Source organism: Homo sapiens, chromosome 6 (assembly GCF_000001405.40).
Source record: "Homo sapiens chromosome 6, GRCh38.p14 Primary Assembly".
Lineage (NCBI taxonomy): Eukaryota > Metazoa > Chordata > Mammalia > Primates > Hominidae > Homo > Homo sapiens.
The window spans coordinates 22,147,744-22,167,496 of NC_000006.12; the positions used below are offsets into that span (position 1 = coordinate 22,147,744).

General features: G+C 36.5%; 1 long non-coding RNA gene across 1 annotated transcript in view, besides 1 other annotated feature; it reads left to right on the plus strand.

Moving 5' to 3' along the window:
• The window catches only part of CASC15 (cancer susceptibility 15), a 529,408-nt gene that overhangs the window by 481,331 nt on the left and 28,324 nt on the right, over positions 1–19,753 (plus strand). The gene's annotated exons all lie outside the window — the stretch shown is intronic.
• Positions 602–3,415: an enhancer, noted in NCBI's record as "VISTA enhancer hs1335". NCBI's record gives its function as "enhancer in: neural tube[4/4] | hindbrain (rhombencephalon)[3/4] | midbrain (mesencephalon)[4/4] | forebrain[3/4]" and the evidence as "EXISTENCE:transgenic organism evidence [ECO:0001131][PMID:17130149]".

A 19,753-nucleotide genomic window follows, 5' to 3' on the forward strand; every position in this document is an offset into this window, starting at 1 on the left:
AGGCTTCAGATGCTAAATGCTCAGTGGAGATGAATACAGTGTTATATTTACATGTTTCAGAGTGCCGGGATCAGCCTATAATTTGCAAAAAGAAATTATTTTCTAAAGACGAGAGGTGGTCCTACCAGCTCACAGCTGATGGTTAGGTACAGGTGTAAATGCTGTTCATGTGATTTGGAGATTTGCAGTGTTGCATTTCAAAAGGCATGTGCCATGAGGCAGAGTATGGCTGTTGTTAGTATGGAGAATGCTTGCTTCTAACTTGCTGTTATGGAGAGCCGAATGCCCTCTGAATAGCTTCTAGTGAGGTTGAGGGCAGGCACTTGAGGCTTGTTGTAGATTCAGATGTGAGAGCTGGGGTTCTCCAACCCCAGCTCAGTGGAGTCAGCTCAACCCTGGGGGTGAGGAGGTTTCCCAGTTGTCATGGGGAGCTCTTCTGGGACGCCTGTCTGGCCCTTCCACTGTTTGTTACTAATTCTACAAAGGCAGCTCTGTGTGTTGGATTATGTTTGGCCAGCTGTTGATGCATTCCTGCGGATGGGGCTGGGTGAGGATCTTATTACTGTACTTTCAAACTGTAGATCTGTGTGCAGGGATAGTACAGAAGGAAAGGAAAAGCAATAAGTTACAGAATCTGATCATTCTTACCTCTTTCTCCAGATAGTCCTAGAGTGAATCCAGAAAGGCTTTAAAGTGAAAAGAGGAAAGAGAGAGTAAGTGATTGGGGGTGGGTGGCATGAGGAGAAGAGAATGAAACAGAGCAAGCGCACAAGAGAAAAACAGCCTTAGAACTTCAAAGCTGCATAGACAAGCAGAATGTCACCAGCTTGTAATTAGCGGTTCATGGTTGCGTCAGTGACTGTATCTATCCAAGAATAACTATGTGATATGTGCCACAAAGTGAAGAAGATAGTCATAACTAAGTTATCAAACCCAGTTCAAACAAGGGCAAATGGATTAAGAAATTTTCTGTTTGTAAATCAAATACTGATGGATTACACAGATAAGACTTAACTGAATTCTGCGTAATTGAAGGCTGAATTATCAATTTGTCAGGGGGGATATGTTCATTAAATGAAACTGTGAACGCTTAAACATGCAAATTAATCATGCGAGAAAATATCAGTGCAAGCTCTATCAATACAAGATGTTTTACTAAATAGCCAAAAATGGCACTGCCAGTCTCCTATCTCTGTATCCACACATAAATTTTTTTGTTTGTTTTTGTGCATTTCAATAGAGAGAAGTCAAAAGTTACATTCGAGTAAATAGGGTAAATTAAATTCTAAAATTCCCACTTTAGAATTTAAAAAACAACTAAGGAGTTTTGATTTTTGGTGATCTCCCGAGTTTAAACCTTGAAGGAGCTTTTGCTGTCTTGAAGCCAAACAGCAGCTAGTCAGTAATCGTTATGGGAAGTCAGGGTACCACAGTTGTTGAGATTTCAAGGCCACGTTCACTTCCCTCCCTTGTCTCTTGTGCTTGGAGATTTGGGTGCTACTACAGCCTCCACAAAGAGACAGTGGGAGGAGCTGATTGGTCCGTAGGCTTAGAATGTTTACTCTTATTTGTTTTCAGTGCTCCTCCATGGCATTCATTTTCTGTTTGTATTTGTGTTCATGCTGCACAATTACTCCTGACCTGCTTTGTTTCTCTGCCCAAAGAGAAGTCAATTTTAGTTCAGCTCTGTGTGTTTAGCTTGCTGGGTAATATGTGCATATGTATTGCATTACCCATGTATGCATTTTTCTTTTTTTAAAATGTGGATTAGGGAAAATTGTAGCATGGAAAGCTGCATATATTAAATCAATAGCTTTTTGAATCACATGTAATATAATTTAAATATACTCACTTTGAGGTTGCCAAAACTGACATTGTCTGAGCCCGTTTAATTTACATCTTCGATTTAGTCAAGAAGCGGAACCTGCCAGATCAGAATAGTGTATTCTGTGCACCCAACAGGGTGGAAGACATTATTTTGTTTGTGTTAGTTCAAACAGCTGGTCATTAATGCAGTCCCCATTTCTAGAGCGAAGTGCTGCTGGACATGAATGCCCGCCTGATTAATGCTGCCCCTCCGAGGGTCCTTCACCCAGCAGTCATGCTCGCAGCAGAATAATGTAGCATGATGTGATTGCACTCTAACAGGATAGTATGTCATTGTGTCACCAAGCAATTGAGGTTATTATGGGGCAGGGCAGACAGACGGGACAGTGGGGTTACTAGACCGTAGCATTTTTAGAAATACAGGCCTGACCTACTTAGAGTTATTCTCTCTGGCTGGCAGCTGCATGGTACATAAAGTCTCCTGATAGGCTGAGTCTGTTGCTAGGGGGAATTAGCATGAATTTTTCCACACACAGACTCAGTGGCTGAATGATAAAAGCTGACTGGAATTAAAGAGATTTGGTTTAGTATTATACAGATTTATGTGCCTCCTTTTCTTTCTCAAGTGCAGAGAAAGAGTGCAAAACACAGATTTTGTTTCCATTTGTTCTTTGACCTTCTTGTTCTCTCCCCCTCCCCTCAAGATGCATGAGGGGAGGAGGGCAGGGCAGTTATGAAATTTTGGTTAATCTCTCACTGTTGGGGTCACTGAAACGATGTCGCAAATTGCAAGATATTTAAGCTTAAAAACTGTTGGGAATGACTAACAGAAGGTTAGATTATTTTTCCTCTTCTGTGCACTAAGCTGTTTTGAAGTTGGGCATGCATCTTTCATGCACTGTATATTTAAACTCTCTTTCCCTTTTGGGCTTGAACAAAACATTTATATAAATTCTTTTCTATCCAAACAGATTGAAGCTTGCAATCTCTGTCTTGTTTAAAACAAGGTGGTCAGGATTCCAGATTTAGATAGGAAAAAAATATATATACCATTTTTGTTATTACAAAATATTATTTTCTGGGGTATTGTGGGTTTGGCTCCCTTTTCAAAAACCAGCCTGATGTGGATGCTTATGGATGAAACTGAACTGCTCCTACCCTACCCTGTTGGCTTCACAATGTATAGGAAAACATAGGTTTTTCTCCAGAAGAAAATCTGCCTGCAGAATGTATCTGGAGGTTGTTTTCCTTGTTGCTGACATATGCACTGCATGTAGACAACTCACATAATCAACTGTATAAGATGACCCATTTTTTTCCTTCTCATGGATCTCCAAGTGTCTGTGGCTTTTAATAGATCTTTTCTAGAGGAGGAGTCTTGATAGATCTTTTTAAGGTAATCTGAAAAGCCATCAGGAGAAAAATTAAAGCAACACATATTTAAGAATACTTTAATTTTTCTTGTTCTTAATTATATGCTAACTGTGCTTAAACTGCAATTTCTTTCTGTTACCTTTTACTGCTGAAAGTAGTGATTATCCTTGCCTTTTAGATTTGAAATTAATTTTCGTGAGAACACCCTGGGATATCACAAGTAAAAAAGAAACTGGGCTACATAAAGGAAAAGAATAATAGAGATTCTTGTAAACTTGTCACATTAGTTTTTTTTGCCCACGTGAAAAAGGCAAGAGAAAATTTAGGTGTAGATTTTTCTTTTCATTTACATTTTAAAAAATATTTGGAACTATTTAGATACATAATGCTTTAAAACAGTGATTCCTACTTATAGCGGAGACTACAGTCAAAACAAAATAAAACAAATCCTCTAATGCTATCAGAGCCAAGAAATCTATCAATCATATATACATTTTTTAAATCCAGGAGTGTTTACATTTCAGCATATAAATCTTATCAAGCTAAAATAGAGTATATATTCTGATGTTGTAATTGATCGATCATACCCTCACTGGCTTTGAGAGTCCCCAAACATTTATTGTAAAGGTTTCCAACTACACTAGCAATCTTTTGTAATTGAATAAAATGCCAATTTATATTTGTTGAATAAAAGATTATCTGGGGTACTGCTCCTTCCGAAATGAAGCAATTTCTTTGTTGTTTTAATAAGTGAACATTTTTTGGTTTTCTTTTGCAGTATTTATTTTGCTTAGGTCAATGGACAATTATTTAAATATTTAAATGCAAATATATAGAAATAAAATGTCACTTTAAAATCACTTAAGAAAGGAAAAACGTCAACATACTTTTATTAACATTCTTTAATAAACATATGGCTAATTTGTATGTAAAGCACAGCCTGTTTCCAGGTACCCAGTCCAATCAAATGTTTATAGTTTGATTAAAAATAAATTGATCACATTATAATAGTTCAATATAAGTCTTATTTGGCTGTTTAGGTTGCTAAGAATTTCCCATTGTTTTTATCCATTACCAGGGAGGTAAGTATTCAATAAGTCAAAAACAAAAACAAAGCAAGCATATTTTAAAATGTCATTTATGCTGACTTGGCTAAGCTTAAGCTTATACTTAAGCTTGAATCCTAGATATTCACTTAGACAATGTATGTCATAGTATTCATTTCATCCTTTGCCATTCATTAAAACACCAAAGGAGCGATCATCCTCACTCATTGCATCAATCATTTATTTATTAGGTATTTATTTTCTGCTCACACAGGAGGCTAACTTCTCCAGTTATAAGGTTCAACATAGACCAATGAGGTTTTGGTGGGATTGGTGGGTAAACAAAAAAGGGAATATAAGCAGTTGATTGTGGTGGGCCACGAAGCGCAGGTGAATCTTGTGTTGAATAGTTTCCCTGACTGTATTCTGTCTGACACCTAATGTTACTTAGTCCTTACAACTTTGGGGAAGAACTGGTGCCCTTACTATCAGATGCTTGGAGATGATCAGCTCTCCTGATGTCACAGAGAAGCTACATCTCTTCCAAACTGTCTCAACACTTTTATAATATGAAAGATCTATCAGTAAGTCAGAATGTGCCTTTTGTGAAGTCATAAAAGCATAATGTAAACCAGTGATTTTTGACATCACTGTTAAAATGGGTAATAGTATCTCAACCATAATACCTGAAGCGCCCAAACTGTACACTGCCGGAGACCTTATCTGATTCCCTCAGCCTGATGCCTCCTGGGCTTCCTTTTTACCAGGCTCCTGTCTTATTAGACCAGCCATCACCTGGTGGTATTCTTTAGTCTGTTTCCCCACTAGTCTCTAACCCATTCTTCATCTGTGTGCCAGGGGCACAGAAGATGTTTCACAGACATTAGTTGATTAACAAATGAATGAATGAGTGAATTGATGAGTATCCAGAAGACAGATGTTAAGAGGAATAATGAAGTCTTCTATCTGTGGATGTATCAATGGCATAGGGCAGGGATCAACAAAGTTTTTCTATAAAGGGCCAGATAGTAAATACTTTAGGCTTTGTGGACTGTATGGTTTCTATAGCAACTACTGAACTTGGCTGGTGTAGCTAAAAAGCAGCCATAGACAATAGTAAATGAGTGAGTATGGCTGTGTTCCAATCAAACTTTGTTTACAAAAAGAGGCAAGGGGTTGGATTTGCCTGTGGGTTATAGACCCCAAGTTATAATCATTACCTTTGATATTTTAAGGATGTGATTTACACCTATAGGTTTACTGAAGATCAGTGTATTAAAAAAGGAGGAAGATTTCAAACAATTCAATAAAAATTAAGAAGAAGTGTTGGATAAATATTAATTATTTGCGATGAGAACTCAGTGCTAATCAACCAAATTTTCTTTTCTCACTGATGACACGGAACAATTTATTTTAAAACTCAAAGAGGAAAGCAAGGATTGTTACTCTTTCTTAAAATATAATGGTATTTTATTGCTCAATATGTAAAAAGGAAGAATGGAAAATTTTTACCTTCAAAATTATTTTTTTAGTGTTGGTTGCCCAGGGGCAAAGAGGAAGTCCAGCCTCTTTGTTTGAAGAGCTGGAAAAAATTTAAAACGTGTGAAATGGTAACTCTGGAAGCACGGCCACTGTGCATCATGTTATCTTTTGCATATTCTTTTAATCAACGTAAATACTGTGCTATTTCAACAAACTAGGTCAGATCTTTCCTTTGTCCTATCTCTCCAGTCCCTTCTCTGTTAGTAATTAATCTGCAACTGTAGAGGTTCTGGATGAACCCTTTTCCTCCTTTCTCTTGCTCTACTTGAGGCCTTTCCTTGCCTTTCTCCTTTGTTGTAGGGCAGCTGGTGTTGGCCTTATATGTTGGTGGATGGTTTTGGAGGCAGTAAACCAGGACGGATCATGCTCTAAAAACCACAGGCCTGGGAATTAGGCAACCTTGTGTGTACATCTCACTCCTGTATCCACCAGCTGTGGGGCTGGAGATGCTTCAGTGAACTTCCCTAAGCTTGAACTTCCTCATTCATAAACTAAGGGTGATGATAATACTTACCATGCAGAGGCTTTGGGAGGGTGAGATGAGATTATGAACATAAAGCCCTCCTAGAACTTTCTAAATGTGCAGCAGAATTTCACTGCTGGTGCTGTGACTCCTACTACCGCTCTTGTTTTTATAACTGGGAGTTGTCCTGCTATCAAGGAAGTGTGCATTAGGCTTTGACATCCTGATGGCATCCTTAAGGGTAATTCTCCTTAATGAGAGCCTTCATCAAGAGCATTTATTTTGGGGAGTCGGATATCAGAAGTCTTGAAGCCAAGAGCAGAGCAGACACAGGAACTTAGAATAAGTCTGGAGGTATCCAGTATATTTCAAGGAATTTGTGTTCTTGCTGTTTCACCTCTAATTTTGTTGTTGTTGTTGTTGGCTTGGTGTGTTTTAGCATATTCTCTTTTAGGATTGTCCTAGAGACACCGTTTGTTTCTTGTCTGTTTTTAGAGTAAGACCAAAGACAGATAGAGCAAAAAGGACTGCCCCTCTACCCTAAGGCTGTGATTTCCTTATTTTGAAACTGTGCTCAAGGCTGATCTTCTCCAGAAAATTTGTCCTGATTAGGTGGCTTGGGAGCAACACATGCTCACAAACATTCGTCAGTCTTCAGCTGACTTTGTGTGCAATGATTTTTTAAAGCACATTTATTCATCATCACCTGACTAACTTTTCTATCACTTCCAGGCCTCTTACGTTCCCCTTGAAGTTTTTATGGCCCCAAAATGTGGCCGAGGTTGTCCTCTTATGTAAGCGCCCATGAGCTCACAAAGCAAAGTACTTATTTTTGTTTTTTACCTCCCTGATCACCTCCATTAGACTGCAGATACCAAAGGGCTTACCTTAATATGATATTCCCAGCAACTAGAAGAGCCATAGGCACATTCTAAGTGCTCAGTAGATATTTGTATAGAAAATAACTGTCAGAGCCTTGTTCATTCTGCATATTCTAATAATTTATATTAAATAAGTCACTTGGAATATTGCTGAACTATTAGTAGTAACTACTACTACTAAATTGATGGTGAAATTCATGAGTTAATCTATCCCAGTAATTGTAGAATATTACTTAAAAATAAAGGGTTCTATCCACACAGTTTTGGAATTAGTAGATGAGAAAATGCATATACTATTGTGACTCCTTCTGAGATTGGACCCAACTAATTATACATTTTTGTTTAGACAGCATGCAGCATAGAGATGAAGAAGAGAAACCAATTTTTTTTTAAAAGCAGGAAGAATAAGAATTATTCCAAAGCAAGAATAATCATTCTTCTTTTGTAGGGATTTCATAAAACATGTATCTTATTCTGTGAGTGAGACATGTTCTCAGTTCTAACAAACCATTGAGAGGCTTATTAAATGAAAAGTGTTCAGGAATCATCAATTGAACGTGATATTTGATATTTTAGCTTGCCTTTATATTTTTCTTAATAAAAAAATCCTTTAGTTCTCTAACAGAAATGTTAGAAAAATGTTACTTTGATGCTTTTAAGGACCCTTTCCTAACCCACAAGGCTAAAGTATATTAATAACAGAGAGGTGTAAGGCAGGAGGGGTGGGGGTGTAATTGAACGTGTCTGGTCTTCCTGTGGTTTTTTCCTTGTGGCTGCTGGTGGCTACAAATGGCCATGTACCCCAGGGGAAGTGAATGCAACAGCATGGGAGTGAGAGCGTTTTTGTGTTCTCTGCCAATTATTAGGTGTGATTGAATATTTTGAAAGAAGCCAGTACATAAAAATGGACATTTGGCTAGTGCCTGATAGAAGTGATTCTTTTTCCGCCTGTTTTCTTTTCAAATGTGTTTGATATTCTGACTTTAGACTCTGCCTACCCCTCTTGTTATCAGAGGTAGACATCAGTCTTACAAAGGACACTCGATAGATATGGGGAGGATGACACTGGGTTTAGAATGTTTTTTCCTTCTCTAGCTCCCATAGGTCTGTGTTTTCCCTTGTTCTGTTATAGGGAAGCCTTTGCTTCATCTTGTTTTGTTCCAAGACTGTAGTAATCAAAGTCTATACCAAAAAGGCCTTTGGATTTAGGCTTTTAGTTGTAAGAATGAGGAATGCCAATATTGTTTCCCAAGCATGACCACTGATACTTTTAATTTTATGGTATTTTCAGAATAAAAGGCATAACAGAATTTGTAATTTTTATAATTTTAAGGAAATTTCTTTATACTCCTTTATTGGAAAACATCTTCTATAGAATGTTGCATTTCATACTTTTAACAGAAAACACAATAGTAGCAGGAGCAGTGTTTGGTGATCATTAATCTTCACTAGGATTTGAGAACTCTTAATTAAAGAATTATGGAAGGCCTGGGAATTTTTTGGCAACACATATAAATATAAAAAGAGAGAGTCTTCTAGCAAAATATTAATCACTTACAGCCAATTCAAATGATGGCCAGCAAACAGAATTTGAACATTGCATCCCTCCTTTTGATCAATTCTCCATGTTGCTAATTGTTAGAAATCAGGAGTAGAGGGCTTGTCTTCATTCTGGAGTCCTGTTTAGAGTTTTGAGGAATCACTTTAGCATAAAGGATGGTACTGTATTGTCAGGAATTTGTATTTCCAGCATTCTCTTTAGAACCAATGTGCCAGTTTTTGCCATCTTAGTCACATGTACAGGTAGCAAGGTAAACATGGATTATGGTCTATATGTTTGTACGGCTGCTTTGTGGGGGATCAGTTTTTGATAACTAGAAGGATGACATGACGTATGATGTACTCAGTCCTTAAAGGAGCATTTAGTTTAATTTTCTTTAGACCTATCCACCAAACTATAAGATCCATGGGGACAAGTTTGTCAATTTAGCTCATCATCATGCGATGCCTGGCCCAGCAAAAATGCCATATACACATCTATTGAATGAAATGGAAGTAAGTGGGAGTAGTGTTAAGATATTTGAAACTGAAATTTTCCATATAAACCAGTAGCTTTCTGTTCAAAATGTAAAAATAAAAATGTCTATCCATACAATATAATTTTATGAATTTCTCACTTTTATTTGTGTGAAATAAAATTTTCTGAAGAGAAGTGTAATTTTAACCATGCTATTGCTTTTTATAATGCTTAGTGTTGTAGGATGGTTGCTTATAGATAAACACTATTATGGTAGTTATTACTTGAGATTTAACATTTTTCTTCTTTATAAAATCATTCAGTATTATTTGATTAATTTTTAGAAGTATCCATAAAGAGAACAGGTGGCACCGTTTTTTTCCCTCTGAGTAGAAGACTAACTTAGAAAGGTTATTATGATATAATCATTTGTTTAGCAGGAATTAGAATAAGTATCTTAGAATGGAAGGGACCTTAGAAATAATCTAATCCTCCCACTGCCAGTCATTTTGCAGATAAGGAGATTGGGTCATGGAGCGGTTAAGAGATTTGCCCAAGGTCACACAGCTAGTTTTCATCAGAGCTAGAACTATAGCTCACTTTTTTTTCTTGATTCCAGTGTTCTGCCCCGCTATATCTTAGGCCTCATTTCTGTAGTTCAGAAGTGGTCTACATTTCTTATATTTTAGAAGTTATTTGAGCTTGTTCATCACCTAAGAAATGTATCACTGAGAGCTCGCATAGGGAAAATACGAGGAAATACTAATGCCATGCCATAGAAATATATATACAGTAGCCTCCAGTACCATAGTTTAGTATGGTAAAATTCAACATACTGCATCAGAAAGTTCATGGACTGCAAACTAGAATTGTGGATTACCAACCTGGCTCTGCTGCTAACTAGCTGTTTGAGCTTAGCTGGGTCATTTGTCTCTCTAGACAGTGAGAGAATAGCACTTTGATAGTTGCTTGAGGTTGCCTCTAGTTCTGTTCCTCCAACAGTCTATCATTGCCCAGAAAAAGTGATCCTGTATTTTTGAAGCTGTGCCCAAAATATCTCTTTATTCAATCATGGTCTGTGAACTAGCGTGAATGAACAGAAGTCTGTTTCCAGGTGGACTAAAGACATGACAGTTGAAATTATATTGTAAGAAACTGTTGCCCTGCTATTGTTTCCCATATTCAAGGAAAAAGGAAAAAAAAAGTACTAGATGGTACGCTGTCCAGTATAGTAGCCACTAGCCTCATATGGCTATGGAGTACTTGAAATGTGGCTAGTACAAATTAAGATGTGCTGTAAGAAAATACGGTCTGGATTTTGAAAATGTAAAATGAAAAGAGAATGGTAAAATATGTATTTCATTTAATGCTTGTGACAAGGTAAATGATAATATTTTGGATGTGTTGGGTTAAAATGATAATATTTTGGTTGTGTTGGGTTAAAATGAAAATATTTTGGATGTGTTGGGTTAAAATATGTTATTAATTTTTCATTTTACTTTTTAACAAAGTAGCTCCTAGACAATTTAAAATTAAATATGTAGCTCACATGATATTTCTATCGGACAGCTTACATCCATACTACAGCTTGACTCCTTTTTAATTTGGAGAATAACTCTTTGTGTCTTAGAAGCCTTGTGAATACCATGGTGTGTTGAGAACACTGAGAATGTGCTGGAGAATATGGGAATGACAGGTGACTATGAAGTCATTGAGAGGAGTAAGATTCTCATGGTTGAGGTAGGGGTTTCCTTCTGGAAGCTGCTAGCTATGCTCCCACATTTATATTTTAATGTTAATGAGCTTACTTGGAATGCTTACAAGTAACCCGGAGATGGGTACAGTCAGCTACCAATTCACAATCAATCAACAGATTGAAATCAATTTCCAGGGTCCCTCTAATCTCTACAGTGCCAAATGTCTTGCCTTTTAAAGGATTTTTCCTTTTCTAATGCAGTTCACTGGCTTAAAGTAGATTTAGTCTGAAGTTCTTACAATGCCAAAAGACACAATTACCCACAGGATTCATGATGTTTGGAAAATTACAGAATTTGGGGTAGAATAGATGGAATAGACACCCTAAAGGTTCATAAAGGAGTTATTATAACTTTGCCAGTAACACAAAACATTTGAGCAATAATGATTGTAAACTTGTGGGATAACCACCATCATCATAACAAGCTATAGGGCTCTTTGAAAATAGCATTGAATTTAAGTCTTGAAAGAATGAATAGAGCACTGAACTGATTATGTTGTTTAGTGTGTGTCAATATTGCCTTAAACTAAGAAAGTGTAACTGTTTATTGAACATAGTAATATTTAGACTTACATATCTTAGAGGTTTTCTCTATATGGCTGAAAGCTAGCTCCAGCCTTAGAGTTGAAACGGACATTTTTAGCGAATGGAAAAATAGAGATTCAAACATAGTAAGTGATTCAGTGGTGCCATACCTGGGGCCCACATCTGTTGATTTCAAGTCAAATACTGTTTCCATGTTACTGTGGAAATACACTTCCATAAATCTACTGTTATTTTTTAAACGTTAACTTTAAAAAGCACTAAATCCCAAGATTACAAGATCACATCACTAAAGCACAAGTCTTCCAGCTTTATAAATTTTCTTGATGACTTGTTTCTTAAATTACAGAATAAAATGCAGCAGGACCTATTCAGAACCCCCAACCCTCTATGAAAGCTACTTATTTATAAACAAATTAAGTAGGAAAATAAATAAATTTTAAAAACAGAGTATTGAGAAACAAATACTCTTTAAACACTAATGGAACATCTTGTTTGCTGGCTAGAAGAAAGGAACACTTGTGTTGAACAACTAATAGTGACTCTTGAGGTCAGGACCTCCTGAAACTAAAACAAGTATCAAAGGAAAAGGAAAGAAGGATTTGCTTTACCTAATGACTAAGTAGGCTCCTAGGGACTGACACCTCTGCAAGAAAACAACTATGAAATCTGGGTATAATGCAAAAAGCAGCCACTTGACAACACTATAGCAGAAACACAAGTAGGCAGAGTCTATTAGAGGAGTATCTTCTTGGAGGAGGGGAATCAGATAGAGTTATTGCTTTTTGTCAGGACTTTTCCTCTTTAGACATGGCATGCAGGATAACAGAGTGCTGCTGAAGGAATCTACAGTCCTTCAAGAAAGGGGACCAGAAAACTGAATCCGGGGAAACCTCAGCCACCAGAGAGGAAAAGAGTTACACGTGGGATTCCCATATTCTGTCTCCAACATAGGTGGCTTACCCATGATTCACATATACATGAAACAGATTCAAAGCCTCCAGTTAAAGATAAAATATCTGAATTGGGACCAGAGTTGTCATCCAGAAATCAGAATTTGCAGTTCTGAGGTGAAACAAGATAATTTTGTGGTAAATTTAAAGGGAAGAACACTCATAGGAGAAAACTAACAATCCAGAGTCTCTACATCTCAATATTAATAACGTCTAGGATGCAATCCACAATTACATGACACACAAATCATTAGGACAATGGTGTATATCCTCATGAGGAAAGAACATTAACTGATGTCAACACCAAGATGGCTCAGGTATTGGAAGTAACAGACAAGATTTAAGACAGCTATCACGACCATACTCTATGCAGTAAATACACCGTGCTTATAGTGAATGAAGAGATAGAAATCTCTGCCAAAAAATAAAAAAGATAAAGAACCAATGGGCTGGGCACTGTGGCTCACCCCTGTAATCCCAGCACTTTGGGAGGCCAAGGCGGGTGGATCATGAGGTCAGGAGATTGAGACCATCCTGGCCAATATGGTGAAACCCTGCCTCTACTAAAATAGCAAAACTTAGTTGGGCATGGTGGTGCTTGCCTGTAGTCCCAGCTACTTTGGGAGGCTGAGGCAGGGGAATCACTCAAACCTGGGAGGTGGAGATTGCAGTGAGCTGAGATTGCACCACTGCATTCCAGCCTGGCAATAGAGTGAGACTCTATCAAAATAATAATAATAATAATAATAATAATAATGACAATTCTAGACCTAAAAAATGCAATATATGAAAAAGATTTAACTTGATGGACTAACAGCCAATAGAGTTTACAAAAGCAAGAGTAAATGAACTTTAATCAATAGTAATTATTCGATATAGAGAATAGAGAGAAAAAACAGATTGAAATAAAAATGAACTGCGCTTCAGAGATCTGTTACAGCAGGGGTCCCCAACCCCTGGGCAATGGTTTAGTACCAGTCTGTGGCTATTAGGAACTGGGTCACACAGCAGGAGGTGAGCAGCAGATGAGCAAGCATTACCACCTGAGCTCCACCTCCTGTCAGATCAGCAGTGGCATTAGATTCTCACAGGAGCACGAACTGTATTGTGAACTGTACATGCGAAGGATCTAGTTTGCACATTCCTTATGAGAATCTAATGCCTGATGATCTGAGGTGGAAAAGTTTCATCCTGAAACCATCCCCGACAACCCTTCTGTTCTGTGGAAAAATTGTTTTCCATGAAACCAGTTCCTTGTGCCAAAAAGTTGGGGACTGCTGTGTTAGAGAATATTAACTGGTTTAATTTATTACATGTACTTGTAGTCTGAGAAATAGAAGAGTGAAACGATGAAACAGAAAAAAGTATTTAAAGAAATAATAGCCAATATTTTCCCAAATTTGATAAAAAACATAAATATACAGGTTCAAGTTGACACCGGATACCAAGCCGAATAAACAGAAAGGCCACACAAAAACACAGCATAGTCAAAGCAGTAAAAGTCAAAGATAAAGCAAAAATCTTATAAGCATTGAAAGAATAATAATGTGATTAGCACCTGGCTTTTCCTCAGAGACACTGGAGACAGAAAAGTATGGAACATTTTTATAGTGCTAAAAAAAACCCTGTCAACCAAAGTGTCTATATCCCAGCAACAATATCCTTAAAAGTAAGTATTTTCTAGACTATCACTGTGCAATACAATTGGACAATAACGGAAATATCTGTGTCTGTGGCTATCTAGTAGAGTAGCCGCCAGCCACATCTAGCTATTGAACACTTGAAATGTGGCTAGTGGTTTTGAGAAACTAAATTTTTATTTAACATAATTCAACTTAAATAGCCACATGTGGCTAGTGGCTACCATATTAGAACTCTAGAATACATAAACTTGAAACACTAAGATAATAATTAAATGATTCTCAGTAGCCAAAGAACATAAAGTTATTGCCATTAGGACTGTCACAATTAACAACTAATATTTAACATGGTAAGTTTCATATGATTTATCCATAATCGTTATTCAGCTATTCTCATTACTGGAATGGTAAACTAGGTAAATTAGTATTGACTAAAGATAGTGTTATAAAATTAAGATAGCTTTTGAATAAGAATATTTAAGAAATATATTGATTGAACAGCTAATATAAATAGTTCAAAAGAATATCATTAAATCTTTATATATTTTTATATTTAAATATATATGTTTACTGTAACACTTACAAAGAAATACATTTAAGCAATGTGATGTCTCTCAAGTAGAAAGGGGAAGGCCTCCTTTGCCCTATCTCTGCTCCCTACTCCAGAGGTGATCCCCGTGAACAGTTTGGTGTGTATCTTTCCAGACTTGTTTCCATGCACATCTGTATACATGCACATCTGTGTGCTTCTACTTATTTGGAAGCTTTACTTTTTTTTTTTTATTTCCATAGGTTATTAGGGAACAGGTGGTATTTGGTTACATGAGTAAGTTTTTCAGTGGTGACTTGTGAGATTTTGGTGCACCCATCACCCTAGCAGTACACGCTGCACCCAATTTGTAGTCTTTTATCCCTCACCCCCTTCCCACCCTTTCCCCCTGAGTCCCAAAAGTCCACTGTGTCATTCTTATGCCTTTGCATCCTCATAGCTTAGCTCCCACTTATGAGTGAGAACATAACGACTTTGGTATTTTATTCCTGAGTTACTTCACTTAAAATAATAGCCTCCAGTCTCATCCAGGTTGCTACAAATACCATTAATTCATTTCTTTTTATGGCTTAGTATTCCATCATACATATATATATATATATATATATATATATATATATATATAGTTATATAGTTATATAGATAGTTATATATATATAGTTATATAGATAGTTATATATAGTTATATAGATAGTTTTATATATAGTTATAGTTATATATAGTTATATATAGTCATACATATATACACACATCATATATATAGTCATATATATACACACACATATGTGTATATATAGATGCCGCAGTTTCTTTATCCACTCATTGATTAATGAGCATTTGGGTTGGTTCCACATTTTTGCAATTGTGAATTCTGCTGCTATAAACGTGCAAGTATCTTTTTTGTATAATGACTTATTTTCCTCTGGGTAGACACCCAGTAGTGGGATTGCTGGATCAAATGGTAGTTCTACTTTTAGTTCTTTAAGGAATCTCCACACTGTTTTCCATAGTGGTTGTATTAGTTTACATTCTCACCAGCAGTGTAGAAGTGTTCCCTGTTCACCGCACCCACAGCCACTTCTATTGTTTTTTGGTTTTTTGATTATGGCCATTCTTGAAGGAGTAGGGTGGTATCGCATTGTGGTTTTGATTTGCATTTCCCTGATTATTAGTGATGTTGAGAATTTTTTCATATGCTTGTTGGTCATTTGTATATCTTCTTTTGATAACTGTCTATTCATGTCCTTAGCCCATATTTTGTTGGAATTGTTTGTTTTTTTCTTGCTAATTGTTTGAGTTCATTGTAGATTCTGGATATTAGGACTTTGTCAGATGTATAGATTAAAAAACATTTTTAATTGACACAATTTTATATATTTGTGGGGTACTGTGTGACATTTCAATACATGTATATAATGTGTAATGATCAAATCACAGTGATTAGCATATCTGTCACCTCAAACCTTTATTGTTTATGTTAGTAACTTTCCAAATCTTTTAGCTGTTTGAAAAAATACAATAAATTATTGTTTACTATAGTTACCTAAAGTTCTGTAGAACACTAGGACTTATTCTTTCTATCTAGCTGCAATTTTATAGACATTAACCAATCTCTTCCTGCTCCTGTCTCTCTATCTCTTCCCAGCCTCTAGTAAACACTGTTCTGCTGTCTACATCTATGAGATCAACTTTTTTAACTTCAACATATGAACAAGAACATGCAGTATTTATCTTTCTCTGACTTATTTCACTTAACACAATGTCCCAGGCTCATCCACGTTGCCATGAATGACAGGATTTCACTTTTCTTTTATAGCTAAATAGTATTCCATTTTGTATAAATTCCACATATTCTTTATCCATTCTTCTGTTGATGGACACTTAGTTTGATCTCATATCTTGGCTATTGTGAATAGTGCTGCAATAAACATGAGAGTGCTGATATCTCTTCAACATACTGATTTCTTTTCCTTTGGATATATACACAGTAGCAAGATTCTTGAATCATATAGTAATTCTATTTTTAGCTTTTTGAGGAAAATCCCCATAATGTTTTCCTTAATGGCTGTAGTAATTTATATTCTCTCCAACACAGCATGAGAGTTTCCTTTTTCCCACATCCTTGCCAGCCTTTGTTATTTTTTGTCTTTTTAATAATAACCCTTTTAACTGAGGTGAGATATCTCATTGTGGTTTTGATTTGCATTTTCCTGATGTTATTTTTTTAATATACTTGTGGCCATTTGGAAATCTTCTCTGGAGAAATGTCTGTACAGATCCTCTGCCCATTTTAAAATTGGATTATTTGTTTTTTTAGCTCTTGTGTTGTTTCAGTACCGTGTATATTCTGGATATTAACCTATTGTCAGATGTATAGTTTGCAAATATTTTCTCCCATTCTGTAGGTTGTCTCTTTACTCTGTTATTTGTTTCCTTTGCTGTGAAGGAACTTTTTACTTTGGTGTAATCCCACTTGCCTATTTTTGCTTTTATTGTCATTACTTTTGAGGCCTTAACTATAAAATATTTGCTCAGACCAATGTCTTGAAGCATTTCCCCCGTTTTCTTCTAACAGTTTCATAGTTTTAGGTCTTATATTGAAGTCTTTTATTTTGTGTTGATTTCTGTACATAGGGAGAGATAGGGGTCTAGTTTTATTGTTTATGGATATCCAGTTTTCCTAGAACCATTTATTGGAGAGGGTGTTCTTTCCTCAATTTATATTCTTGGCCCCTTTATTGAAAATCAGTTGTCTGTAAATACATGGATTTCTGGCCCCCTTATTCTGTTCCACTGTTCCATGTGTCTGTTTTTATGTAAGTACATGCTGTTTTGGTTACTAAAGCTTTGTAGTATATTTTGAAGTCAGGTAGTATGAGGCCTCCAGTTTTGTTCTTTTTGCTCAAGATTGCTTTGGCTATTTAGGGTCTTCTGTGGTTCCATATGAATTTTAGGATTTTTTTTTTTCTATTTCTGTGAAGAATGTCATTGGTATTTTAATAGGGATTTCATTGAATCTATAGATCACTTTAGGTAGTATATTCGATTTAATAATATTCTTCCAATCCATGAATCTGGGATATCTTTCCATTTATTTGTGATAAGTTTCTTTCATCAGCATTTTATGGTTTTCATTGTAGAGGTCTCTCATATTGTTGGTTATATTTATTCCTATTTTATTTTAAATTTTTTAATAGCTATTGTAACTGGAATTGCTTTATTGATTTATTTCAGCTAGTTAGCTGTTGATGTGTAGGAACACTACTGATTTTTATATGTTGATTTCGTATCCTGCAACTTCACTGAATTCACTTATCACTTCTAAAAATTTCAATGGAGTCTTTAGGTTTTCTCTATATAAAATTAGGTCATCTGTAAACAGGGACAATTTGACCTCCTCTTTTCCAATTTGGATGCCTTTTATTTTTTTCTCTTGCCTAACTGCTTTGGCTAGAAATTCCAGTACTACATTGAATAAAAGTGGCAAAAGTGGGCATTCCTGTTTTGTTTCAGTTCTTAGAAAGCTTTCAGCATTTTCTTGAATAGTATGAGGTTGGCTGTGACTTTATTATATATTGCTTTTGTGTTTAGGTTTGTTCCTTCTTTACCTAATTTGTTGATGGCTTTTATCATGAAGGAATGTTGAAATGTATCCATGCTTTTTCTGCATCTATTGAAATGATCATATGGTTTTTGTTCTTCACTCTGTTGATGTGATGTTTTGTATTTATTTGGTTTGTGATATAATTTGGCTCTGTGTCCCCACCTAAATTTCATCTGGAATTGTAATACCTAGGTGTCAAGGGGGGGGCCTGGTAGGAGGTTATTGGATAATGAAGGCAGTTTTGCCCATGCTGTTCTCATAATAGTGAGGGAGTTCTCAGGAGATCGCATGCTATAAAAGTGTTTGGCAGTTCTCCCCCTTTCTCTTTCTCTTTCTCTCTCTCTCTCTCTCTCTCTTCTCTCTCTCCTGCTGTCACATAAGATGTGCCTTGCTTTCCTTTTTTTTATTTTTTTATTTTTATTATTATTATACTTTAAGTTTTAGGGTATGTGTGCACAACGTGCAGGTTTGTTACATATGTATACATATGCCATGTTGGTGTGCTGCACCCATTAACTCGTCATTTAGCATTAGGTATATCTCCTAATGCTATCCCTCCCCCCTCCCCCAACCCCACAACAGTCCCCGGTGTGTGATGTTCCCCTTCCTGTGTCCATGTGTTCTCATTGTTCAATTCCCACCTATGAGTGAGAACATGTGGTGTTTGGTTTTTTGTCCTTGTGATAGTTTGCTGAGAATGATGGTTTCCAGCTTCATCCATGTCCCTACAAAGGACATGAACTCATCATTTTTTATGGCTGCACAGTATTCCATGGTGTATATGTGCCACATTTTCTTAATCCAGTCTATCGTTGTTGGACATTTGGGTTGGTTCCAAGTCTTTGCTATTGTGAATAGTGTCGCAATAAACATACATGTGCATGTGTCTTTATAGCAGCATGTTTTATAATCCTTTGGGTATATACCCAGTAATGGGATGGCTGGGTCAAATGGCATTTCTAGTTCTAGATGCCTGAGGAATCGCCACACTGACTTCCACAATGGTTGAACTAGTTTGCGGTTGAACTAGTTTACAGTCCCATCAACAGTGTAAAAGTGTTCCTATTTCTCCACATCCTCTCCAGCACCTGTTGTTTCCTGACATTTTAATGATCGCCATTCTAACTGGTGTGAGATGGTATCTCATTGTGGTTTTGATTTGCATTTCTCTGATGGCCAGTGATGATGAGCATTTTTTCATGTGTCTTTTGGCTGCATAAATGTCTTCTTTTGAGAAGTGTCTGTTCATATCCTTCGCCCACTTTTTGATGGGGTTGTTTGTTTTCTTGTAAATTTGTTTGAGTTCATTGTAGATTCTGGATATTAGCCCTTTGTCAGATGAGTAGGTTGTGAAAACTTTCTCCCATTTTGTGGGTTGCCTGTTCACTCTGATGGTAGTTTCTTTTGCTGTGCAGAAGCTCTTTAGTTTAATTAGATCCCATTTGTCAATTTTGGCTTTTGTTGCCATTGCTTTTGGTCTTTTAGACATGAAGTCCTTGCCCATGCCTATATCCTGAATGGTATTGCCTAGGTTTTCTTCTAGGGTTTTTATGGTTT